Raw genomic sequence first — 26,080 nt, 5'->3', positions numbered from 1 at the left:
AACCACTGGTAGCATAGCTTACCGAACCAAGAACCAGGTATGACGCTTCTCAGCTAACTGCATGGCAAGTTCAATCTCTGATGGACAAAACGAGGATGAAGTATTTACATAAAAACCAATATCCTATACACTGACCAAGACCCAGGTGAAGATTTTATAAAATTAAATTAGTGTGAGAGTGGGTCAAGGCCTCCCTTCCCTGCTGAGTAATAGATGCCTATTTGCATATGACTGTCCACCCCAGAGGCCAGGGCTTCCCAACAGCAAAAGAAGTAAAGGCTTTGGTGGTTTATGTATTTTTGCGTGTGAATGTAATCGCTCACCTTTACATATGACTTTCTACCAAGGAGACCAGGTAATAGCACAGATTCTTACTTCAGTTCTATGAGTGCTCTTACCCCCTAATATTGTAAAATTATTGAACATTTAAAAATAATTTTCCATTTATATTAATGTCTCTTACTTGAGTCAACAAAGAGAGAGTTCCCAGTTTGTCATAATAAAGTACTTACCTAAATTTGCAGTTCTTGGGTATGTATGACTTGACACAGATACAAAGAGGACTAGGAAAATTCACACCCACATCACGATCACTTCAGGAGACTCTGTCATCCTAAAAGTATTTACTGAACACCTACTGTGTGCCATGCTCTAAATGAGTGCTAAGGATATAGTGGGAGCAAGACAAACATGATCCCGTGTCTTCAGAGAGCTTGCAGCCTAGGGTGTTCGTACTTTGGGTGATCAAAGCCTTGTAATTATTGGGCAAAAATTCAAAGAAGCAGTCATGTGGGTAGAAGAAGTCTTTGCTAGCTGGAGTAATACTCATCTAACACACATGTCTTTCTAGTTAGCCTATAAAACACGAATTGCTTAGGGGAAATAAAGTTGGCTGTTATTAAAAAAATAAATAAACCCTGAAATCCCAGCTCCTGACTTACCTCACGGGAAGGGGTGAGGGCACTGTTTTCCATGATGTTCCTCGGGATCTAGGCTACTTCCAGCTTGTGGCCCTACACTCTTCCAGGTCCCTGGAATTTTTATCTATTCAGTGAGTAAAGAAAGCAGGAAGATTACGGATGGGAAGATTTTATAGACCAGGCATGGGATTTGGACACGTGACTTCTGTTCAAATTCCACTGGCCAAAGCTTGGCCACACCTAACTACACTAAAATCCAGGAAATATCATCCAGCCGTGTACCCAGGAGATGAAGAGAACACCCACACCAGGTCCTCCCAGCTCTCTATATTCCACCAGCTGATAGGAAAAGAGAGCAAAGAAAGCATGAGAGGGCTGGGCACAGTGACTCACGCCTGTAATCCCAGCACTTTGGGAGGCTGAGGTGGGTGGATCACCTGAGGTCAGAAGTTCAAGACCAGCCTGGCCAACATGGGGAAACCCCATCTCTACTTAAAAATTAGCCAGGCGTGGTGGCAAGTGCCTGTAATTCCAGCTACTTGGGAGGCTGAGGCAGGAGAATCACTTGAACCCGAGAGGCGGAGGTTGCAGCGAGCCGAGATCGTGCCATCGAACTCCAGCCTGGGCGACAGAGCGAGACTCTGTCTCAAAACAAAAAAAAAGAAAAGAAAAGAGAAAAGTAAGCATGAGATAATTTTTGTGAGCTAGAACTAGACGGGAACACATGACCTCCTCACATTCCACTGGCCAGAACTCAGTTTCCCAGCCACACTTCACTGTCAGGGACCCTGCAAGTTTGCACATGGGTGCATGCTTAGGAGTAGAACACCGGTCTTGGGGATTTCCTTCTGTACCGAACCCAGGCTCCCTCTCAATCATTAGTAAGACAAAGAAGAAAAGTGTGCCCTTATTTGTTTATGTGCATTCCCTTAGCTGCCCCAGGTGATTAATTTTTTCTTTTAGCAAAGTCCATGACATTTATTTTTTCCTATTTTACATGAGAAATTAGAAGACTCAAAAGGTAAAATGATGAGTAGCCCAGAGTCAGATAGCTAACCAAAAACAACTTGCCACTAAATTTCAGGTCTCCTAATTCACAGTACATTTAGTTTATTTTCATTAAATATGTACTGTGCATTTAGCACTGTGTTAAATACTTGAGGGATAAGAAATAAATAAAGACCTAATATTCATCTCAAGAAGCTTTAGATGTTTTCTTTTCTTTCTTTCTTTTTTTTTTTTTTTTTTGGAGACAGTATCTCTCTCTATCGCCCAGTGAAGTGCAGTGACGTGATCTCAGCTCACTGCAACCTCCACTGCCCAGGTTCAAGCAATTCTCCTGCCTCAGCCTCCAAGTAGCTGAGATTACAGGCATGTGCCATCACGCCCAGCTAATTTTTGTATTTTTAGTAGGACAGGGTTTCACATTTTGGCCAGGCTGGTCTCAAATTCCTGACCTCAGGTGATCCTCCTACCTTGGCCTCTCAAAGTGCTGAGATTACAGGCGTGAGCCACTGTGCCTGGCCCAGATTTATTCTTGAGAAACAAAATATTTACATAAAACAAATGCACATATTTAATTGCTATTTAGAGGAAAATGCATGCAATGTGTCACACATAATGTGATGCCAGCCTCTGAGCATGCACTCCAGGAAGGTTTGATGACAAGAAAGACCTGTGCAGAGCGTAATGCCTGGGAAGAACTTTGTGGAGTTCAATCTTGAAAAATAGTAGAATGTGGATGAATAGAGAAAGGGGAAGGACTTTTTGAAGATGACACTTATGGTGGGAGGAAAGCATGAGCACAATTGTGCTCTGAACAAAAAGAGGAGATAAGTGTGGCTGAGAATGAGAATTGGTACTGGGAACAGTGGAAGTGGGAGACAGAATCTAGGGGCCTTGTGGTAGGTGGTTCTGAAATCATAAGCAATTACTGAACCATAGTAGGCACATGAACTGGCCATAGCATGCCTGTCCAAGTGTTTAAGAAATATCTCTTTAAGAAGAAAGAGATGGACCTTTATAGAAACCAAGGAACAAAAGGATATGCAAGAGAATTTGTATGAAGAAAGCGTGGGAAAGGAGAAGACATCATCTGACCACAGAATCTCACAGTTATGGAACCACGTATACAAAATGTTAAGATGTTACAGGATAAATGCTGAACCCAGTAATTTAGGCTGACAGCCCTACGTGGTGGCCCACTTATAGTAAATCTATGCATTCATGTCCTGTTTACATTTTTACTGTGAGGGGAAATTATATAACCACCTAAATAAGACCCTGTGCTCTCCCCTCAAAACAATAATATTTTTTGGCAAAGATAATTAAGTAAAGCCACAAGCCTATTAAGAAATGCAAGATTATACACATTATCTCCTACAGGCAGGCAGTGATGTTTGTAATACACTAAAGACATGTCTTCTCAAAAGAAACAGATGTTCTTGGTTGACAACAGAAACGTAAACAGAATCATACAGAATGTTCTCATCGTTTAGCCTATTTATTTATATACTGCCTTTGCTAAAAAAAAAATTAATTAGACAAGCTTACAGAGATAAAATAAAGCAAGATAAAATTTAAAAGGTGATGGAACCAGGGCAAAAGAATAATAAAAGTAGGAAAAATAAGATAGAGCCATGAGTAATGTTGGTGTATTTTAAAAACAACAACAACGACGACAAGGTAAAGCCCTTCACTGATTAGAAGTGAATCCAAAATTTGATCCTCAATTTTCTGCCCAAAGCAGAATTGTTTATATGATATACAGTATCCATAAAATAAACCATTTACTCAGAAGGGAAAAAAGTCATTCCTGGATCTAGGATCTTGAAGACTCTCAAAAAAAAGAGGTAAAATTTCCTATGTTGTAGTGGTCAGTACTCTTTCAGTTGCAAATGAGAGAAAGCCCAACTCAAACTGGCTTAAGCAGAAAAGGGAATTTACTGACTCATGTAACTAAAAATGTGTAAGCTAAAAAAATTAAAAATTAAGTTCTTAATCTATGATTTCAGGTATTGCCGATCCAAATGTTCACAGTGTTGTCAGGAATCTCTCCCCAGATATCAGTGCTGCCTTTCCTTTGTGGGGCTTGTATTAGTCAGGGTTCTCTAGAGGGACAAAACTTATAGGATAGATAGATAGATAAAGGGGAGTTTATTAAGGACTATTAACTCACATGATCACAAGGTCCCAAAATAGGCCATCTGTAGGCTGAGGAGCAAGGAAACCAGTTCAAGTCCCAAAGCTGAAGAACTTGGACTCCGATGTTCAAGGGCAGGAAGTATCCAGCACAAGAGAAAGATGTAGGCTGGGAGGCTAAGCCAGCCTAGTCTTTTCTTGTTTTTCTGTCTGCTTTATATTCTGGCAATGCTGGCAGCTGATCAGATGGTGCCACCCAGATTAAGGGTGGGTCTGCCTTTTCCAGCCCACTGACTCAAATCTTAATCTCTTTTGGCAACACCCTCACAGACACATCCAGCAGCAGTACTTTACATCCTTCAGTCCAATCAAGTTGACACTCAGTATTAACTGTCACAAGTCCATCCCTTGTCAACTTGAACTTATACACATCTCCTGAGATCAAACATAATATTAAGACAATAATAAGGTCATAATTACACGTAACATAATACAACTATCTTTTGTACAACCAGAAATGCTCCAATCCCCAACCCAAATGTTATTACATAAAGTTAACAATATTTAAATGCTGATATGAAGTCAATAAGTCTTATGTCACATGATAAAGGAAAATGGAAATAAAATGAAGATATTTTCTTAGTATAAGTGTATACACACACAAACATGTTTTTAACAAAAGAAGGAAGAAATACTCATGGAAATTACAGTCCTCGTTTCTGCAACTGGTCACGTGGTCGTACTGGTATTAAGGACTACCTTCCTCTACTACCCATTATGTATTCCCTTTGCCTTCAGGAAGCACATCAGCAGGTCATGGGTTTTTTCCTGGTGGAGTGACACAAACCTTCATTCCCCAACAGTCTTGGCCATTTGCAGTTCTGCCTGGATTGGGCCGTTGTAGTCTCCCACTGACTTTAATCACAAGGCATGGTAATAGTAAGAGACACCCTAATGGATCTCCTGTATTCCATGCAGACTCTTCCTTACCTCCATTGTGGAGTAGTAGACTAATTTCATCTTGATAGTGGGGTCAATCACCCCAGCCAACACTGTAACTCTCTTCTTAGCCTGTTGACTGAAAGGTAGGAGCCCAAAGTGTCCAGATGACAATCTTTAAACTTCCAGTTTAATGGAATCATTGTTGTGTCTCCTGGTGGCGGTGTTCCTCCCTCTGGAATTAAGACCCTTAGGCCAGCAGAACATAATGTCACAGGAACAGGAAGCAAAACTTTTGCTAGTGAATCACTAGGGGTGATGGTGAGTGGTGCCACTTCCACTTTCACCCCTTGATTCCTGTACCCATGAATCCTGGCTATAGGAGAAACATATATTGGATGCCGATTCAGGGCATACACAGCCTTCTGGAGAACTTTGCCCCAGTCCTGCAAAGTATTGTCACCTAGTTGGCATTGTAATTGTGACTTCAAAAGGCCATTCCATCGTTCTTAAAATCCAGCTGCTTCAGGATGATGGGGAACATGGTAAGACCAGTGAATTCCATCAACATGAGCCCACTGCTGCACTTCTTTAGCCATAAAGTAAGTGGCTTGGTCAGAGGCAATGCTGTGTGGAATATCATGATGGTGGATAAGACATTCTGTGAGTCCATGGATGGTAGTCTTGGCAGAAGCATTGTGTGCAGGATAGGTAAACCCATATCCAGAGTAACTGTCTATGCCAGTGAGGACAAACCTCCACTCTTTCCATGATGGAAGAGATCCAATATAATCAACCTGCCACTAGGTAGCTTGCTGATCACCCCAAGGAATTGTGCCATATCGAGGGCTCAGTGTTCGTCTCTGCCACTGGCAAATTGGGCACTCAGCAGTGGCTGTAGCCAGGTCAGCCTTAGTGAGCAGAAGTCCATGTTGCTAAGCCCATGTGTAACTCCATCCCTGCCACCATTGCCACTTTGTTCATGGGCCCATTGGATGATGACAGGGGTGGCTGGGGAAAGAAGCTGAGTGTTGTCCACAGAATGGGTCATCCTGGAACAATAAAAGTTCCTGTGTCCCCCTCACAGTTTGTGCAATGGGGGTGTGGCTCGCTTCTTCAGTGCTCTGCTACTCAAAACTCTCAGGCAGCATACAGACAGGCAGGCTGTGGGGCTCCAACCCCAAGGCAGTGTCTAGGGGTGAATGTTTACAGCTCCTGAAGCCCCAGTGGGCCTGGAGCAGGGCTGCTCAGTGGCACAGGCTCTCCTCTGACTACCCCGGCCAAATTCTGCCTCGTTCCACTGGTCGATGGCCTGCCAGCATGGCAGCATCTCCTACACCAGTGCATTTCTCTTGACCTCCAGCTGCCGTGTGCTCCTCCACTGATGTGCCCCTCTTGACATCCAGCCACCTGTGTACCTGCCTGCTAGGGTCTCAGGGGTTTTTATAGGCACAAGATGGGGGCGTGCTGGGCCAAGGTGGTCTTGGAAAATGCAACATTTGGGCACAAAGGCATGAGTACCTGTCCCCACCTAGGTATGTGGGCACAGGCCTGGGGATGGAACTCTCACTGGGGACCTGCCCTTCTCCTCCCCTTCCATATCACATCCCCCTTCTGAAGAGGCACATCTAACTGCCTTTAGAATATAGACAATAACAGAGCTTAGTGCTTCCTGCTTACAGGGGGCATTGTTTTGCAGAAAACAGCAGTCAGATTCCTCCCAGAGTTCTATCTAAGGGTTCTTAGCAAAGGGAAACCACCATCCGAGGCTCTGGTTGCCTGACTGTTTGGAGTTTGATGGCTTGTAAGTGAGAGGAAAATAACAAGTTTTATAATGGTAAGTATGCACAGGTTAAACATGTGTATTATACAAGGAAAGAATTTCATGCCAAAGATTACAGAAACAAGAAGTAAAATATACTAACAACAACATTGTACCCCAAGCTGTTTCACCCTGGTGAAAGAAATTAAACTTTAGAGCGGTTAAACTTTTAGAAGAGAGATAACTGTTCTTGCCGTATCTTTAGCAGTTAACAGGTGCACCCTGGGAATTCTAGGGTTTGTGGGCTTGCCTGGCAGCCATTAAAGCTTTTGTCTCTTTCCTTTGTTTCCTTTCTCTATTGTAGAAGACTGAGGTGGCTACTTTCAGGAGGTCCTCTAAAGTACTATCTGGTCCCAGGGTCCATTTCTGCAACTTCCTCCTGATATCAGGAGCTGCCTGAGTAATAAATTTATCCTTTAGGATTAGCTGTCCCTCAACTGAATCAGGAGATAGAAAGGTGTGCTTTACCAAGGCCTCTGTTAGCCTTTCCGGGAATGCAGTCGGATTTTCATCAAATCCCTGGTCAATCCTGGGCAACTTAGTATAATTGAGAGGCTTGGTCCTAGTTGTACATAAGCCCTCCATTATGCACACCTGAAAGTGTCTCTTTTTCCAGTCTTCCACCTCGTCATTGGGATCCCATTTAGGGTCATTCACTGGTACTGCTTCTCTTCCAGTTGGATAATATTTGCCCCCTTCTCTGATGCTATATGTGAGGCAAAGCTCATCCCCAAATCTCTCTGCTGCTTGCAGAGCAGCCTCCTTCTCAGTGTCCATCAGGGTCTGATTCAAAAGTAACATAATGTCTCTCCAGGAGAGTTCAAATATTTGACTGAAATTCTGGAAAGCCTCTATATATCTATCAGGGTTGTCTGAAAACTTTCCAAGATCCCCCTTAATTTGCTTTAAGTCCTGTAGGGAAAAAGGAATCTGGAACTTACTGGACCCAAATTCACTGGGCATCTGTTGGAGGGGCAAGAATGAGACTGGAGCTTGTTTAGAGTGAGGATTTCTAGGAGCGGGTAAGTGACAGGCTGAAGCTAAATAGGAAGGATGGGGTGGACCCAGAGAAGCAGGTCTGGGGGGAAGCTGGCTCCTCTGCTGGGGGTGCCTCTGGGACTCATGTCTTTAATCCCCTGGGTTTGCCCTTTGCAGCCTTCCCTGAGAGGGCAAACAGGAAGGCTGGATCGATCCTACATTGTCGGCAAAGATCTGGATTGCCTTGCAAGGTGTAGAAAGCCTGCACATATGGGGCCTCAGACCATCTGTCCTCACATATACTGAAAAGCTCCAATTGCCAAATTGTATCCAAATGAATGGTTCCTTCCTGAGGCCAAGCCAGTCCTTCCTGTAAATCATAATTTGGCCAAACCTTTGTGCAGAGGGCTATGAGGTGCTTTTCCTCCAGATTCTGAGGGTCAAAGCAATCCCAGTGGTTCAGGATACACTCCAGAGGAGTATAAGCTGGGGGTGGTGAAGAGACCTGGTTGCCCATTCTGAAAGACAGAGGATAGAGACGTCCCTCATTCCCTTCCTTCTCTCAGAGAAAACTCCGGGTGAGATGGAGAGAGAAAGCAAGCATCCTCCCTTCACTCCCCACCACTTATCCCTCAGCCCTGGTGACCTTGGCAGGTGCCAGCCATGGGTATCGATGTGGTATGCACCCATGAAGCAGGGAAAACCTGGAGAATAGGAATTAACCACCCTCACCTATGCCTTCATTTCTCCCTGGTATCAGCAAACTTTGAGTGCCCTGGGCCTGTTTATGCCATGAAGCATGGCCTCCTTCTGTGGGGTGGGATTCGGTTGGCAGAAATTTGTCCTGCTCATTTACATTGTGCCTGTTGCCTGTCTTTCGATCCTTCAGACCTCGTTTTCCTTTCTAGGGCCTGAGCCTGAAGCTTGGAATTGAGTTTGGGACTGAAAAGATATTTTAGAGGCTGTTTTTATGTGTTTAGAGTGTCTCAAATGTGCCCTGCCCAATTTGCAGTTATCAGCCAGCAGGGGTCACTCCTCTGTTAACTTCCCTATCAGAAACAGAGTTGGAAGTGGGGAGCCCTCTCACTTTGAAAAGGAAAAAGAGAATAACAGCTTAAGTGGCAAAACAGGCAGATTCTGGGGAAGAAACCCTTGCTTAGTGTAACTGGGCTTTTCTAATCCTTACATCTTTCCCCCGGTTCAGACGGGGTTGAATTCTTTGGAATGAGGTGGAGTTTGGCCAGGGGAGTTGGAGGAGAGCCCAGGCCACCAAGCAGCCCGACCCCAAGGGAAAACCACCTCCCTGGTTAATTCCTATTCTCCAGGTTTTCCCTGCTTCATGGGTACATACCACATCAATACCCAGGGGAGGAAAGGTTCCATTGGCACAGCAGGCGAGAAATATTCATTTGTCCATTAGCCCTGTGGGGTCATGGCTACCACTGCGGCTTTCTCCTGGTCTCCCATCCCTCCATGGCTGCTGGGCTCAGCCTTTGTCTGCTGTGGGCATGCCCAGGCACACGAGCTGGGAGGGGAAAGGATAAGGAGAGGTGCCCTGAGCCGTGCGTGCTTGCGGCTGTGGAGGTGGAGGCATATATGGCAACTCTAGGAACAGTTGGTCTGATATGTACCTTTGGAGCCTGGGCCAGATGCTCGTTTTACTTAGTAACTTTGCCGCAGCCTGTAGCAAAACTCTTAACATTATAAAGGAAGAGATAAGAGCCACTTCAAACCATGAGAAAAGAGACAAACTCGGGGGGTTTTGACCATCCCAGTTAGGGCAGAGGCAGAGGCCAGCGGATCACCTGAGATCGGGAGTTCGAGACCAGCCTGACCAACATGGAGAAACCCATCTCTACTAAAAATACAAAATTAGCTGGGCGTGGTGGTGCATGCCTGTAATCCCAGCTGCTTGGGAGGCTGAGACAGAAGAATCACTTGAACCCGAGAGGCGGAGGTTGAGGTGAGCCGAGATTGTGCTATTGCACTACAGCCTGGGTAACAAGAGTGAAACTGCGTCTGGAAAAAAAAAAAATTCTGTGAAGGAAGACAGAGCTTCTTACCCACAAGAAATAGAGAGAGATGGCAGGGTTTTGGAAGAGAGAGGCAGACCCCACAGTTTTACATTCGTTCATACTCACCTTCTAGGATCCAGGCGCGGTCCCCAGTTGAAATGGGAAAAGTTCCCTTGTCTCCCTCACAGGGAATGTGATGGGGGTGTGGCTCACTTCTTCAGTGCCCCACTGCTCGAATCTCTTAGGGAGCATACAGACAGGCAGGCTGTGGGGCTCCGACCCCACAGCAGTGTCTAGGAGTGAATGTCTACAGCCTCTTAAGCCCCAGTAGGCGTGTGTTACAGGGTGCTCTTTTAATTTAGTTGTCCATGGGTGGCTTGTGTTAGCTCAATTAGATCCTCTGCCTTATTACAAGGACAGAGGGCTTTCTGTATCCCAGGGTTCTTGCCTTGGTGTACCAGAAGAATCGGATCACACATGGGCTTGGAGAATCAATGCAAGGTTTTATTGAGTGGAAGTAGCTCTCAGCAGATGGGGGAGCCAGAAGGGAGATGGTTTTCCCTTGGGGTCGGGCTGCTTGGTGGCCTGGGCTCTCCTCCAACTCCCCTGGCCAAACTCCACCTCATTCCACCAGTTGATGGCCTGCTGGCATGCCAGCATCTCCTACACCAGTGTTTTCCTCTTGATATCCAGCTGCCCATGTGTTCCTCCGCTGATGTGCTCCTCTCAACAAGCAGCCACTTGTGTGACTGCCTGCTAGGGTCTCGAGGGTTTTTGTAGACACAGGATGGGGGCATGGTGGGCCAGGGTGGCCTTGGGAAATGCAACATTTAGGTGCAAAGGCAGGAGTGCCGGTCCTCACCTAGGTCTGTGGGCACAGGCCCAGGGGTGGAGCTCTCTGTATCAATCTTATCCACTTGATTATTAAAATCCTCCTCTGCTGAGGTCACCTGTTGGTGAGCACTCACATGGGATACAAATATCTGCACAGTTTTTGACCACTCAGAGAGGTCCATCTACATACCTCTTCCCCAAATTTTTTTGTAACTGATTTTCCAATCATGCTTCTTCCAAGTCCCTGACCATCCAGACAAATCATTGACTACAGCCCATGAATCAGCATATAATCACACATCTGGCAATTTCTCCTTCCATGCAAAGTGCACAACCAGGTGCACTGCTCAAAATTCTGCCCACTGGGAAGATTTCCCTTCACTGCTGTCCTTCAAGGATGTCTTATAAAGGGGCTGTAGTGCTGCAGCTGTCCACTTTCGGGTGGTGCCTGCATATCGTGCAGAACCATTTGTGAACCACACCTTAGTCTTCTCTTCCTCTGTCAACTGATCATAGGAAACTCCCCATGAGGCCATCAGTGCAGGCTGGGCGACAGAAGGCAGGGTGGGAGGCATGGAGACCATGGACATTTGAGCCAGTTCCTCATGTAACTGACTTGTGCCCTCAGGACCTGCTCCAGACTGATCATGTATGTATCACTTCCATTTGATGATGGAATGCTGCTGTGCATGACCCACTTTATGGCTAGATGGGTCAGAAAGCACCCAGTTCATGATAGACAGTTCAGGTCACATGGTGACTTGATGACCCATAGTCAAACGTTCAGTTTCCACCAAAGTCCAGTAACAGGCCGAGAGCTGTCTCTCAAAAGGAGAGTAGTTATCTGCAGAAGATGACAGGGCCTTGCTTCAAAATCCTAGAGGCCTCCGCTGTGATTCACCTATGGAGGTCTGCCAAAGGCTCCAAACAGCATCCCTATCTGCCACTGACACCTCAAGCACCACTGGATCTGCTGGGTCATATGGCCCAAGTAGCAAAGCAGCTTGCACAGCATCCTGGACCAGTTGCAGAGCCTTCTCCTGTTCGAGACCCCACTCAAAACTGGAAGCCTTTCAGGTCATTTGATAAATGGGTCAGAGTAACACACCCAAATGAGGAATGTGTTACCTCCAAAATCCAAATAGGCCCACTAGGCATTGTGCCTCTTTCTTGGTCATAGGAGAGGCCAAATGCAGTAACTTATCCTTCACCTTAGAAGGAATATCTCGACAAGCCCCACACCACTGGACCCCTAGAAATTTTATTTAGGTAGAAGTTCCCTGAATTTTAGTTGGATTTATTTCCCATCCTCTGGCATGCAAATGTCTCCCCAATAAGTCCAGTGTGTTTGCTACTTCTTGCTCACTGGATCCAATCAGCATAATGTCATCAATGTAATGGACCAGTGTGATATCTTGTGGAAGTGAAAAGCGATTGAGGTCTCTCTGAATAAGATTGAGACACAAAGCTGGAGAGTCAATATACGCCTGAGGAAGGACAGTAAAGGTAAATTGCCGGCCTTACCAGCTGAAGGCAAATTGCTTCTGGTGGGCCTTATGGACAGGAATGGAGAAAAAGGCATTTGTCAAATCAATGGCTGCATACCAGGTGCCAGGAGATGTGTTAGTTTGCTCAAGCAATGAAACCACATCTGGTACAGCAGCTGCAGTTAGAGTCACCACTTGGTTAAGCTTATGATAATCTACTGTCATTCTCCAAGATCCATCTGTCTTCTGCACAGGCCAAATGGGAAAGTTGAACAGGGATGTGGTGGGAATCACCATCCCTGTGTATTTCAAGTCCTTGATGGTGGCACTAATCTCTGCAATCCCTCTAGGGATGCAATATTGTTTTTGACTTACTATTTTCCTAGGTAGAGGCAGCAGCTCTAATGGCTTCCATGTGGCCTTTCCCACCATAATAGCCCTCACTCTACCAGTCAGGGAGCCAATGTGGGGGTTCTGCCAGCTGCTAAGTATGTCTCTGGCAATTATACATTCTGGCCCTGGGGAAATGACTACAGGATGAGTCCGGGGACTCACTGGACCCACTGTAAGTCGGACCTGAGCTAAAACTCCATTAATCACCTGACCTCCATAATCCCCTACTTTACCTGGAGGACCACAATGACGTTTTGGGTCCCCTAGAATCAATGTTTCAAAACTATCATTTTGCCACATTTATCCCTCTCTATCTCAAAAAACAAGTTACTTCTAACCCAGGGTGTAGGTGTTATTTGCCCCAGCAACATCAGCTCAGAGCCAGTGTCCAGTAGTCCCTAAAATATCTGATCATTTCCCTTACTCTAGTGCACAGTTACCCTGGTAAGAGGCTGGAGGTCTCCTTGGGGAAGGATGGGAGAAAAATTAACCGCATAAATTATCAGTAGTATAGTGGGTTCATTCCTCAAGGGGACCCGGCCTCCCCTTCATTCCAGGGGTTCTGGGTTTTAAACTGGCTCAAGTCTGGAAACTGATTGAGGGGCCATGATTCTCTGTTTTTATAATTCAAATTAGTCTTTTGTCCATTCGACCTGGAATTTTTCTGCTTATATAAATTATAGGAATGGGCCGGGCACAGTGGCTCACGCCTGTAATCCCAGCACTTTGGGAGGACGAGGCAGGTGGATCACAAGATCAGGAGTTCGAGACCAGCCTGGCCAATATGGTGAAACCCTGTCTTATCTAAAAATACAAAAATTAGCCAGGTGTGATGGTGGGCACCTGTAGTCCCAGCTATTCAAGAGGCTGAGGCAGGAGAATCGCTTGATCCCGGGAGGCAGAGGTTGCAGTGAGTCAAGATCATGCCACTGCACTCCAGCCTGGGCAACAGAGCAAGACTCCATCTCAAAAAAAAAAAGGAAGAAAGAAAGAAAGAAAGAAAGAAAGAAAGGAAGGAAGGAAGGAAGAAAGAAAGAAAGAAAGATGCAGTAGGCTTCCTATCAATTTCACTGCTAGGAACAATGTGATTAATTAGCCAATGCCATAGCTGTATATGAGTCAGACTATTCTGATTGCTGCTTTGCTTCTGCTGTCCACTACGGTAGCTACGCCCACCTTGCCTTTGATGATTGAGTGCCACCAATTGGCCCCTGTCACCTTGCGATCCAATTATTCCTGTTGTATTTATATTTTGTAGTTGAGTAGTTGCGGTTCCCACGATTAGATGTGACATACAGAGAAGAGCAATTACAGGGCTCTTCAAAGATGCAGGTGCTGCCCTCACAAATCTATTTTGCAAAACATTGATCGAGGGTATATCTTCTGTACTCTCCCAGCTGGGATGAGTAGGTGTAAAGTGACTAATTCACTCCACCATTTCAATCTCCCTAAGCCTTTGGATCCCTTCCTCTCCATTAAACCAAGGGAGATCAGGCATTTCCAGCTCGTTCACAGTGGGCCATCTTTTAAAAAAAGACATAAAGTTTAATATGTTGTAGTGGTCAGTACTCTTTCAGTTGCAAATGATAACTGGCTTAAGCATAAAAGGGAACTTATTGACTCATATAACTAAAAATGTGTAAGCTAAGAAAATTAAAAAGTTAAGTTCTTAATCTATGATTTCAGGTGTTGCCGGTCCAGGCGCTCACACAGTGTTGTCAGGAATCTCTCCCCAGATCTCAGTGCAACCTTTCCTTTGTGTGGCCCCATTTGCAAAAAGACTCCCCACTCAGAAGTGACAGTGACCACCAGCAGTTCCGGGTGTAAATTCTACCAGATTAGCAACTCCAAGAAGAATAGATTCCCTTTTTTTAAAAAAAAAATCCCAGCTTCCACCACAGCTTCTGTCCAGGAAAAGTTCTGTGTCTCCTGGTGGTAGGGTGGAATTCATGGCATCCAAACCACATGGACTTGGAATCGGAGATGGGTGGTTCCTTAAAGGAATCCTGACCAAGCAGAATCATGCTCCCTGTACATCCCAACAACATGATAATAGCAAAACAGGTAAGTATTTATCTAATAACATTGAATCTTATACATTCCCCTAAGTGGGGTACATGTTCTTACAACAAAACTCTACAGTTCTACAAAGGTCAATATAGTGTTGGTCAGGTACACAACTCTCTTTTATTATGGTGTAGTGGGGTTCTACTTGTCAGGCCTCTGGAATAAACCAGAATTCACCCAGATGGTTTAAACAAATAGACTTTAAGAAAAAAGCTATGTATAAAGATGTGGGAAGGGATAAGAGCAAAATAAGAAGGGTGTTTTGGCACCCAAAATCTAGCGGTATTAGGATGTTGTTAAAACTCCTGCAGCCAAAGGGACATGGCTTTGCCAGTGGAGCTGTGGCTGTGGAGGAAGGCACTTGCTCCCAGTGAAGCAGCCCTACAGCCAGGAGAAGGTGGGAAAGAAATATCTTGATGTCTCTCTTCTCTTTACCCTCTGATTTTCCTGTTGGTGCCAGAAGAGTTGGCACAGATGAGTAAGTGATGTAGTCTGTAGTGGTCGACTTCCTGTGACACAGAGTGAGAAGAGAAGGATGGAAATGAATCTGCAGGAGCAAAGAGGAACAGAGGGCATAACCTAGCATATCAGAGTATTAGACATAATTTAGGTGTTGGCCCATGGGTCCCTCTTTGGCCATGCCCACCTACACACACCTCCCAATGTCCACTGGCTGCAGTTCACTAATCCAAGGATAGAGATGCCTGACTCAAGCAAGTCAACAAAACTCTCCTCCCTGAATTTCAATTTTGAACAGACATACAGAGTCTTCAGGGTGTGGGAGCTGAATCATCATACAGCAGCACCCTAGAGAGAAATTCCTATCGTTTCTGATGCTGAAGTCTCACAAGCTTCTCTGGTTCCTGTCCTTCCTGTAGCTTGTTTTTTCAGCTGTTTCTCCACTTACATGAGCTACCCTAGTATTACTTAAATAAATTCCACTTTAAATTTTGAGCCAGAGTGATTTTTCTATTGCTTGGAACAAGAAACAGGCTAGTTACAACATTTGGGATGGACTTTTTTTCTCATTTATACATTAACGAGGACTAGGTGGCTCCATAGCTGCGTCCAGTTTGAGCATGGACATTACATGTTTCTGGTTAATGTCCAGACTTGTGCTCTTTAACTGTCGATACAGTGATATCTTTGGGTCGAAGTTGATGAGCTTAATGAGGACAAGTTCCTAAATATAAAAACACAACTTGAAAATAGTGCAAAGAAAGACCATTGCCAAAGATGAAATTCACTTCACAAAACAATTTTGGGTCAGTTCTGACAAAGATGAATGAGAAGCCAAGTTCACAATAATTCCTATCTGAAAACATTCAAAAACTGTTATATGCAACCTTTCCATTCAGCTGTAAATAATTCATAGACAATAACATCAGTTCTTGGATATTTTGCTGGCTTGTTTGTTTTGTCCTTGACCAGCTGGCCCAGGTTGATATTTCACTCTTGCCTACCTGCATCCTTTCTGCCCTTGCATCCACTGGACCTGGTGAATGGCACTGAGCTGATGGCAATGGGACAAAGGGGACAGGGAGCAGTTCTGGCTTTGTGAAGATTACAATCTAACATTTGTTAAAACTAGGTAGTGGGTCTCTTGGAAAAGGGAAAGAGGAGGCCAGATAAATGTGGGTCAAGGAAATCAGGAGTCTTCTAGGGACAATCTGAGATCCATTTTGAGCCCCACTTTAAAATCCAGGAAAATTACAACTCAAGAGAATTGACTAGGGCAGAGCTTAAGATGGACAGACACTCTCCCAACAGTATATCCACCAACCACTTGCATCTTTACCTTTTATCCCCACAATCCTCAGATGCAATAATGGCTAGTCAACTAACTGGGACCCTCTGGGAACCTCTGGAAAATAATTCTGGACAGTGACATGCTGAATCTTCTAGAGTTGACCATGACTTTGTTGGGCTCTTTTAAAGAAACAGCACTGAGCAACTTGCCTACCATCCTCTTAATTTACACCATTATCCCCTGCGCCCACAACATCACACTTCAAATAGACCCTGTCAGTGCATTGAATCCAGACATGAGCAAACGAACCGTCCCATGACTCATGACATGGGGAAAAACATCTAACACTTTTCCTCAAGGTGGGCTCTGTATGATGAAAACTTGACTGGAGACTAGATGGCTTCCAGACAATACTCAGCTCCTCCATAGCTCCTAGCTGGCTTCAGTGAGTAGCATTCCCCAATAGAGACTGGGTCCCTCCAGATGTGGACTCCACCCTTACCAGATGGCCCACCATCCTCTTTCCTTTCTTATATTCCCTCCATCCATTTTTCTTTTCCCAGCCAAGGAAATCCTTTCAAATCCCAAAGGCTGAAAAGCTTGGCTTTTACTCATTACGTATCATGGTCTAGCTTGGCACTACCCAATTTCAGCCATAGTAAAAATGATCTGTAATTCTGAGCCATACAATACAGTAGCCTAGCCACATTTATCTATCAAGCACTTTAAATGTGGCTAGTGCAAATAAGAAACTGGCTTTTTCATTTTATTTACTATTAATTAATTTAAGTTTAAATAGTTACTTGCTATAGGCTGGTAGCTACCATGTTGGACAGTGCAGGTCTAGCCCTTGACACTCAAACACTAAGAATTTACTCTTTTTTTTAAAAAAAAAAGAATTAATTCTCTTTTATTTTTCTTTCAGATTCTTTCTGATTTTCTTCTGATGTTTCTAAGAAAGCAAACTTGGAATATTCTAGCTAAAGATTGGGATAAGTGAGGACAATATTTCAAAACTATCATTTTGCCACGTTTATCCCTCTCTATCTCAACAAACAAGTTACTTCTAACCCAGGGTGTAGGTGTTATTTGCCCCAGCCTGTCTGAGAAGGATTTCATATGCTTCAGTACTGGGTAACATTCTTGCCTATCTCATGTGTCACTTCTTAGGTCTCCCAGGCAGATATTTCATGGTAGAAATAAAGGGCTTAACAAAATCAAAGAGGGCAGAGAGAAGTAAACATCATGCCCATGACTCCACACCACTTTTCCTGTATGTCACACTAAGAGGTGTTTGAACCCCATGTAACATTGTGAGGTGGAGGTGGCCTGATCTCACCATCCAGCCTGAGTCCTATAAAGGTGTGTCTAGGTAAACAGAGCCTTGTGCCCAGGAATGGCCAGCCTCACAGGTTGCCAGGGTCCTGGAGTGGCTTGGAAGTGGATGACTGTGTGCCTGCTCGAGGGCTAGCAAAAGACCAGCAACAGCAGCCTGAACCTGAGGAGGCCTGGAGAGCAGGGGCAGAGGATGACTCAGCAGTGACTTTTATAGACCATTGGCCAAGGACCAGGTGGGTTCAATGACACCTCAGTGGATACAATCATGGACAGATGGCAGCTAAGACCAAATGTCGCCCCTCCTTCCAGGTCTTTGGCATAGTTTAAGTCTCCCAGAAATATGATGGAATCAGAGAGAAAAATAGAAGACCAAGGAAGTTGAAATTAAGTTTTTATAGACCCCAGAATATTAGCATACAAAAGTAAAATTTAGTTATAGAAAAATAAATTTACATTTATTTCTTACTTAGGTTGGTGAACTGCTACATTATTATAATGAGATTATTACTGTAACACATATTTTTTATATTATATTCCCCCAAAAGTGTCCACTGAAAGTGGACTACAAAACCTAGGCCCCAATTCCTCCTTGTAAAGGAGGAATAGGTTAAATTAGTACATGTAGTCCTGAGTTTCTAGTATGCTCCAATAAACAAAGGCAAATTAAATGCAAACTAGAAGCCTATGATACTCAAAGATTTAGAATTTTACTTAGGGGGAGGGAAAACAAATAATTTTTTTTATGCTAAAATATATTAACACAAAACATAAAATTTGCCATTTTAACCATTTTAGGTGTTGAATTTAATGACATTAAGTCCATTCACATTGTTGTGCAACCATAACCACCAATCTCTCCAGAATCCCAAATTGAAACTCTATACCCATTAAAGGATGACCTTTCATCCTCATTCCCTTCAGTCCCTGGCACCCCCCATTCATTTTCAGTCTCTGTGAATTTGACTACCTTAGATACCTCAAGTAAATGGAGTCATAGAATATTTGTTATTTTATGTCTGGCTTTTTCACTTGGCATAATGTCTTCAAGTTTCACTTAGGTTGTGGCATATATCCAAATTCCATTTTTTTTCATACCTCATTGTATGTATTCACCACATTTTGTTTATTCATTCATCTGTTGATGGACATTTGGGTTCTTTCTACCACTTGGCAATTGTAAAGAAAGATGCTAGGAACATGGGTGCACAAATATCTGTTTGAGTTCCTGCTTTCAATTATTTGAGGTGTATAACCAGGAGTGGAATTGCTGGATCATATAATAATTCAATGTTTAATTTTTGAGGAAACACCATAGTGTTTCCCAGAGCAACTGCATCATTTTATGTTCTCCCCAGCAATGAACAAGGGTTTCAATTTTTACACACCTTTACCAACATATTTTTTATTTTAAAAAATCAAGTTGGAGTTAGCTTTGATCTATTAGAATAGAAATAAATTCTATGCTTACTTTTTCTTTTTAATTGGGTTCATGTTGCTGCTTTTGTCGAAGCATCCAGCAAATTGCTTCTAACACTCATTCTTTTCTCCTTGTCTCCCTGATTTTACTACTGTGACAAAGCAGATCAGAGAAAAAGTCAAGAAAATAGTAAAGTTTGTCTTTCAGTCCTCTCAGTAGTACATTTACCAGGGAGCTGCATGCTCTCTGCCTCCCCAGCCCACCCTGGCACTGCTCATCAACCCAGACGCCTCACTCCCAGACCTTTCTCTTTTTCCCCCCACTCCCCACACCCCAGTGTAACTTGGGGAACCTAATATAGAGTACCATGCTAACACAATACTTTGAAAAGCAATGTGCATACAGACTACTTTTGTAAATAACACCTTAATCATGACGAATGACTTGAAGGGGGAAAATGTCAGGTGCACCAATAGGATGCGGGGGAATTGCAGAGGCTCAGTGTAGACGAAAGACCTGGACAGGAAGTCCTACCATATCATTTCTAATCAGACACAATCGCCAACTAACTGGAAAACTTTAAGCAAGCCATTTAATGTTTCTGGGACTGTTTCCCCATTTGTAAAGTGCAAGATAAACTCCTTCCAATGAAAAAGCTGGATGATCATTTCATCTGTCTAAACATTTGAATGTATATGAGTGAGTAAAAATAATGTCCTTCAACAATATACTGTGCAATTTCTAAGATGTGTCCTATCAAATATAAACCCACAATAATAGAGTATGGCGAGAGTGCAGAAATACGAAAGCACAACCAAAAGCTTGGTCTAGAAGTAGACCCAAGGATATCAGATAAAACTTATGCATTGTTTAATCACTCAACATGTGCCAACTATAGTAAGTCCTCAATGCCTTCAATAGATCCTTGGAAACTGCGACTTTAAGCAAAGTGACATATAATGAAACCAGTATTTTTTTCTCATCAGTGTTATAATGAAACAACACTGAAGGAGACAACATTATTGGAGGACTTGTTGTTCATTGTTTCACTTAAAGTCACAGCTTCCAAGAACCTATCCATGGTGTTAAGTGAGGGCACACTGTGCTATATTTTGTATATTAATATTATTAATTTATCACTTAATTTCTGCAACATGATTATTGAAGTAAGAGAGTGAGAAAGTAATGGATGTCATGTTATTTATTTATCTATTTTTATGTATTTATTTATTTATTTTTGAGACAGAGTCTTGCTCTGTTGCCCAGGCTGTAGTGCAATGGCACAATCTTGGCTCACTGCAACCTCCACCTCCTGGGTTCAAGCAATTCTCCTGCCTCAGCCTCCCAAGTAGCTGGGATTACAGGTGCTCATCACCACATCCAGCTAATTTCTTGTATTTTTAATAGAGACTGGGTTTCACCATGCTGACCAGGCTGGTCTCGAACTCCTGACCTCAGGTGATCCGCCCGCCTCAGGTGATCCGCCCATTTGTTTTCTTTTCTTGCTTTATATTCCTTGGAATTGAATCAAAAGCCATTTCTTCCTCTTCACACCAGGAGAGTTAGCTGGGACAGACTGTACTGGTAAATTCTAGCCAGAGGTTATAACTGTGACCCACAATGTAAATTTGGTTTCTAAATGTAAAATCTACGGTGTCATTTTTAAAATATAAATTAGTCAATTTACCAATATTTGAAATTAAAGGTGTTTCACATGTTTTCTTTTATAAAATCCAAATTTTCAACAACTCTTGAAAAGTCATTAGAATTAGGCAACACTGGGCATTTATTACCAACGAGATCGGCAGAATACAAGTAACACCTACCTATTTAGACTGAGTGTGTGCTCTGCAGTTCACTAGACACTCCCACTCTCCATTAATCTGTGTGTTACTGCGTAACTACCCGCAGAGGGTATTTCCATTTGCACCTTCTGAGATGTTAAGTTACCAGCTTTCGTTGTTTAGGCTCTGAAGGGAATCCACATGAAACCTCAGATGGGGAGGGCATGGAAACTTTTGTACACAAATTGTAAAATAGGAAGGCATGGGAACCTACCATGGGACAGTAATTAGATGCAGAACACTGGGGAATGGGTGGTTACAGCTTCCACAGGTGCATGAGACCCTGGCCACTCTGAGTGGGCCCGGCCAAAACACCAAAACCTCCTAGGGGATGAGGACATGACTTGATAACAAGCCTCAGGTTCTTACACGCCTGGGTAATGCCTGCGGTTCTTGCAAGCCTGGGCAATGCCTGGGAGTGGTGCCCCTGTGGAAGATCCTCACTACGAAGGGCTTCATAGTGGCCTGTGCAAGCAGGATGACAAGCCATGTAGATCTCCATGAAGACGTAGCAAATGACAACGCCTGAGGGCAGCCCCATTAACTGTGAAGGAAAATGGCAGAATTTCCTTGGGGACCTCTTTACAAGGGATGTAGGAGCACTTAGGGCTTCTTTTATCTTCTGGAGAACTGAAGAGAACCCACAGAGAACAACTAATGAACTTCTGACACAACTGAGTGAGGTGGTGGCAGCGTGGTGGATGGTGAGGGCAGGAGCTCATATTCTTTGTGTGTGTGTGTGTGTGTGTGTGTGTGTGTGTGTGTTCCAATAAAACTTTATTTAAGAATGCTGACATTTGGCCCAGTGCGGTGGCTCATGTCTGTAATCCCAGCACTTTGGGAGGCCGAGGCCGGCAGATCACGAGGTCAGAGATCGAGACCATCCTGGTTAACACGGTGAAACCCCGTCTCTACTAAAAAAATACAAAAAAAAATTAGCCGGGCTTGGTGGCGGGTGCCTGTAGTCCCAGCTACTCGGGAGGCTGAGGCAGAAGAATGGCATGAACCCGGGAGGCAGAGATTGCAGTGAGCCAACATCGCGCCACTGCACTCCAGCCTGAGCAACAGAGGAAGGCTCCATCTCAAAAAAAAAAAAAAAAAAAAAGGAATGCTGATATTTATTTAAATTTTATATAATTTTTACATCATGAACTATTATTCTCCTTTTGATTTTTTCAACCATGTAAAAATGTAAAACTATGGTTAGCTTTCAGGCCATACAAAAACAGGCAGGCAAAGGTTTGCTAAACACTGAAATAGAGGAAGGAGGAGGAGAAAGAGCAGGAAATAAATGACTATGGTAGAGCAGTATATTAGTTTAGTGTTTATATTAGGCTAGATTATGGTGAAGTAACAGACAACCTCAAAATCTCAGTGATTTACAATAACAAAAGGGTATTTCTTATTCACAGCACATGTGTACTTTGTGCTGGCTAAGTTCTATTCCATGTTATTTTCATCCTGGAATTCAGGTTCATAATGCAAACTCCATCTGGAGTACTGCTGCATCTAGGAGCAGAAGAAACACAGAGAACATGGCAAACCAAGTGCTGGCTCTAGATGTTTCTGCCTGAAATTGACATACATCATTTTCACTCTGTTTCATTGGCCAAAACAAATCACATACCATGCTAAACTACAATGGGGTAGGATATAGAATCCTCTTCCAGACCAGGGCAATTACTATTTATGAAAAATAACACAAGAGCCCATATTTTCAACAAGCTTTCCTGGAGGTTGTGCTAAACAAACAGGGTTGGGAGCCCGAGTTCCAGCTATTTGCTCATTAATGTCCCTTACATCTCCAAAATTCCATGATCCTAGGAGTTATTTTGCATAAGGTTCCCATGGATGGGTAAAGGTTGAAGGATGTAAGAACTTGGGTGCAGAGCATGTTGGTTGGCAGAGGAATTTATAAACATAAAGCTGCCTTACCAGGGCATAGGCCCAATGTAGGAATTCTAATTTGCCCATCTATTAGTACCATCACCAAAAATTAAAGAAAACTTTCACTCAGGAAATGGCACGTGCTTCCTAAACAGTGTGATGGTAATGGCCACTGTTGGCTGCCCAGCATGCATTTTCCCCTCCTGGTAGCACCCTGAGTACCCTTCAGGGCTTTCCCTTTCCCCTGGTGGTTGCAGCCTCAGAATGCAGACTAGGCTATTTTGACAAAAGCTCATTTAAACAAGGTAGGCTTCTCTTACAACATTCAAGGTGGTCCCCAGTCCTGAGGGGCAGGCCAATAGTGTCGGGCACACAGGCTCCTTCCATGCTTTTTTCTTTGTCATCCTTAAGGTATGGCCTTTGTCCACGAGGTCAAGGATGACCATCCACAATCTTTACATTCCACTATAAAAAAAATGAGAAAATGAAAATAGAATAAGTACCTTTCCTTCTAAGGTACAATCTAGAAGTTGCATAAACCATTTTTGCTCATATGGCCCCATTGACTAGAATTAAGATACACATACTTCTGTGTGAGGGAGCCTGGAAAAATGGGGTGTGTGGCTCCAATAAATTTTCTTACTAAAAAAGAGGAAAGCAGACAATGGGTAAGTGGTAACTATAATAGGCTGTTTTGCTTCCCTATAAAGGAGTACCTGAAGCTGGGTAATTTATAAAGAAAAGAAGTTTAATTGGCTCATGGTTCAGCAGGCTGTATAGGAAGCAGGGCATTGGCATCTTCTTGGCTTCTGGTGAGGCCTCAGGGAGCTCTTACTCATGGTGGAAAGTGAAGTGGGAACAGCATGTCACATGGTGACAGTGGGAGCAAGAGAGAAAGGAGAAAGCATCACACACTTTGAAACAACCAGATCACAAGAGAACTCACTCACTATCATGAGGACAGCACTAAGACATTCATGAGGCATCCACTCCCATGACCCAAACACCTCCCACCAGGCCCCACCGCCAACACTGGGGATTACATTTCAACATGAGATTTGGAGGGGACAAACATTCCAACTCTATCAGTAACAGTCTCTGCCACAAAGGTTACATCCCTGGTGCCTGCCCTCCATTAGGAAGGCCAAAGAGCCCCCATCTTCCTTTCACAACACCGATATAACCAGGGGTGGGCAGGTAACTAAGCATGGCCAATGGAAGGCTCTTTTCAGGGCTCTGAATACTGAGTGAATGAAGCAAGGATGGAAAATAGCATCAGAAGGTAGGTATTGCAGTGCTGCTGTGTTGAACCACTGATGCTAAGACAATGTTGTGAAGCTTCCTTTCCCTGGCTTCTGGAACTCTGCGGCCTCCAACAGGTTCCCAAGCCTGCTCACAGCCTCCTGTTGATTTTATACCCCCATTCCACCCCATCTACCCCATTCCAGACATCTTTCCAATAAATTTACTTTAGTTGGCTAAATTCTATATTCGTTGCTCTTAATGAAGACCCCTATCTTAGTCTGTTTTGTGTTGCTATGACAGAATACAATAGACTGGGTAATTTATAAAGAAAACAAGTTTATTTCTTACAGTCTGGAGGCTAGGAAGTCCAAAATCAAGGAGCCGCATCTGATGAAGGCCTTCTTAATGTGTCATAACATGGCAGAAGGTACCACATGGCGAGAGGGCAAGAGCACGTCAACTCAGTTCCTTCCTCCTCTTTTTATAAAGCCTTGAGTCTCATCATGGAGACCCCACTTTTATGACCTTATCTAATCCTAGTTATCTCTCAAAAGTCCTACCTCCAAATATCATTAATATATAAATTTGGGGAAAGTTTCCAATACATGAAATTTAGAAGACACATTCTCACCATAGCAAATCCCAATTTAGCCTCAGCCTAGGGAAATGGAAAGAAACTCAAAACCAAGAAGTTAGATAAACCCTAGTATGCTCTCAGCCTCATGCCACACTGGAGACTTGGGATTATATCACTGTGGCTCCTGTTTACAGTGACCTAGGGCCCACTGTAGAATTTATCATTCCCATTGCACACTTCATCTATCTTATCTATTGCTGCATAATCAATAACCCCAAAAATTTAGCATTTAAAGCAATAAGCATTTATTATCTCACAGTTTCTGTGCGTCTGAAATCTGAGAGTCACCTAGCTGATTTCTCTGGCTCATGAGGAGACTGTCAAGCTGTCAACAAAGGCTGTGATCTCATTTGGATGCACAGCTGGGCCTTGAGGGGAGGGACAGAGATCTGTTTCCACGTGCATTCAGAGGATGTTGGCAAGCCCTGGTCTTCCTCATGTGGGTCTCGCCACAGGGCTGCTTACAACATGGTGGCTGGTTTCTCACAGGGGAGAGATCTAAGAAAGAACAAGAGAAAGCACCCAAGATGAAACTCATAATATTTTACAGCCTAATCTTGGAAGAGACAGCCCCTTATTTCTGCCATTTCCTATTTGTTACAGTGAGTCACTAAATCTAGCTCACACTCAGGAGGAAAAGATCACATAAGGGCATAGGTACCAGAAGGCAGAGCTCACCAGGCCATCTTACAGTCAGGCGGCCACACCATAACGCTCATCCATCATGAATCAGTGAATCACAATCAGGGGAAGAGGATGAAGGGTAAAGCTTACCTAAAGCATAATTTCATTTTTTTAATGAAATGGCCTAAATACATTTGTGACTATTTTGCTTTCAAAATATCAGGCAGCAATTGTCAGGCAGAACCCACCATTGCCAATTTTTTTTTTTTTTACTGTACTATAATTTACATCACACTGCTACAACTGCTATTTTATATGACATTCCCAAGGATATTTTAAATGATGCTAAAAAAGACAGTTATATCAATTTCTGGTATTTTATTATTATTATTAACAATAACAACCAGATGAGCAAAAAGAGGTAATATGTCCCTTTCCCATTTATCTTATTTTAGTTCTCTGTTAGGATTTCTTTAGCTGCCATTGTAGCTTTCAAAAAGATAGCTCAATTGCTGAAGTACTACCCATTAAATTAGAAATGATAGGTTTGCCAAAGAAATAAGCTATTATTTAGAAGTAAAAAGCATAGGCAACGACACTGCTAACCCTCAATGAATTTCCAGAAGTCTTAACACCATTTCAAAGCCATTGTGAACAGCGAAACTAAGTTGATACTTTTGAAATCTAACACATCGTTAAGGCACAAAATGACAATACCTGTAAATACCTAGGATTTCTCAAT

General features: G+C 43.4%; 1 long non-coding RNA gene across 1 annotated transcript in view, besides 2 other annotated features; it reads right to left on the bottom strand.

The window, feature by feature from the left end:
• Positions 5,601–6,265: an enhancer, noted in NCBI's record as "H3K27ac-H3K4me1 hESC enhancer chr8:64239103-64239767 (GRCh37/hg19 assembly coordinates)". NCBI's record gives its function as "activates a minimal SCP1, AML or CMV promoter by ChIP-STARR-seq in primed H9 embryonic stem cells {active_cell/tissue: H9 hESC(primed)}" and the evidence as "EXISTENCE:reporter gene assay evidence [ECO:0000049][PMID:30033119]".
• Positions 6,266–6,931: an enhancer, noted in NCBI's record as "H3K27ac-H3K4me1 hESC enhancer chr8:64238437-64239102 (GRCh37/hg19 assembly coordinates)". NCBI's record gives its function as "activates a minimal SCP1, AML or CMV promoter by ChIP-STARR-seq in primed H9 embryonic stem cells {active_cell/tissue: H9 hESC(primed)}" and the evidence as "EXISTENCE:reporter gene assay evidence [ECO:0000049][PMID:30033119]".
• The window catches only part of LOC105375873 (uncharacterized), a 39,300-nt gene continuing 30,649 nt past the window's right edge, over positions 17,430–26,080 (bottom strand). The window contains exons 4-6 of the long non-coding RNA XR_001745931.2: positions 25,003–25,212; positions 23,153–23,297; positions 17,430–19,252 (exon numbers count right to left, since the gene is read on the bottom strand). This is a non-coding gene — a long non-coding RNA (uncharacterized LOC105375873). The remainder of the gene's footprint in view (positions 19,253–23,152; positions 23,298–25,002; positions 25,213–26,080) is intronic.

This window comes from Homo sapiens, chromosome 8 (genome assembly GCF_000001405.40).
Source record: "Homo sapiens chromosome 8, GRCh38.p14 Primary Assembly".
In the NCBI taxonomy this organism is placed as follows: Eukaryota; Metazoa; Chordata; class Mammalia; order Primates; family Hominidae; genus Homo; species Homo sapiens.
This window is presented reverse-complemented; position numbering and strand designations above follow the sequence as displayed.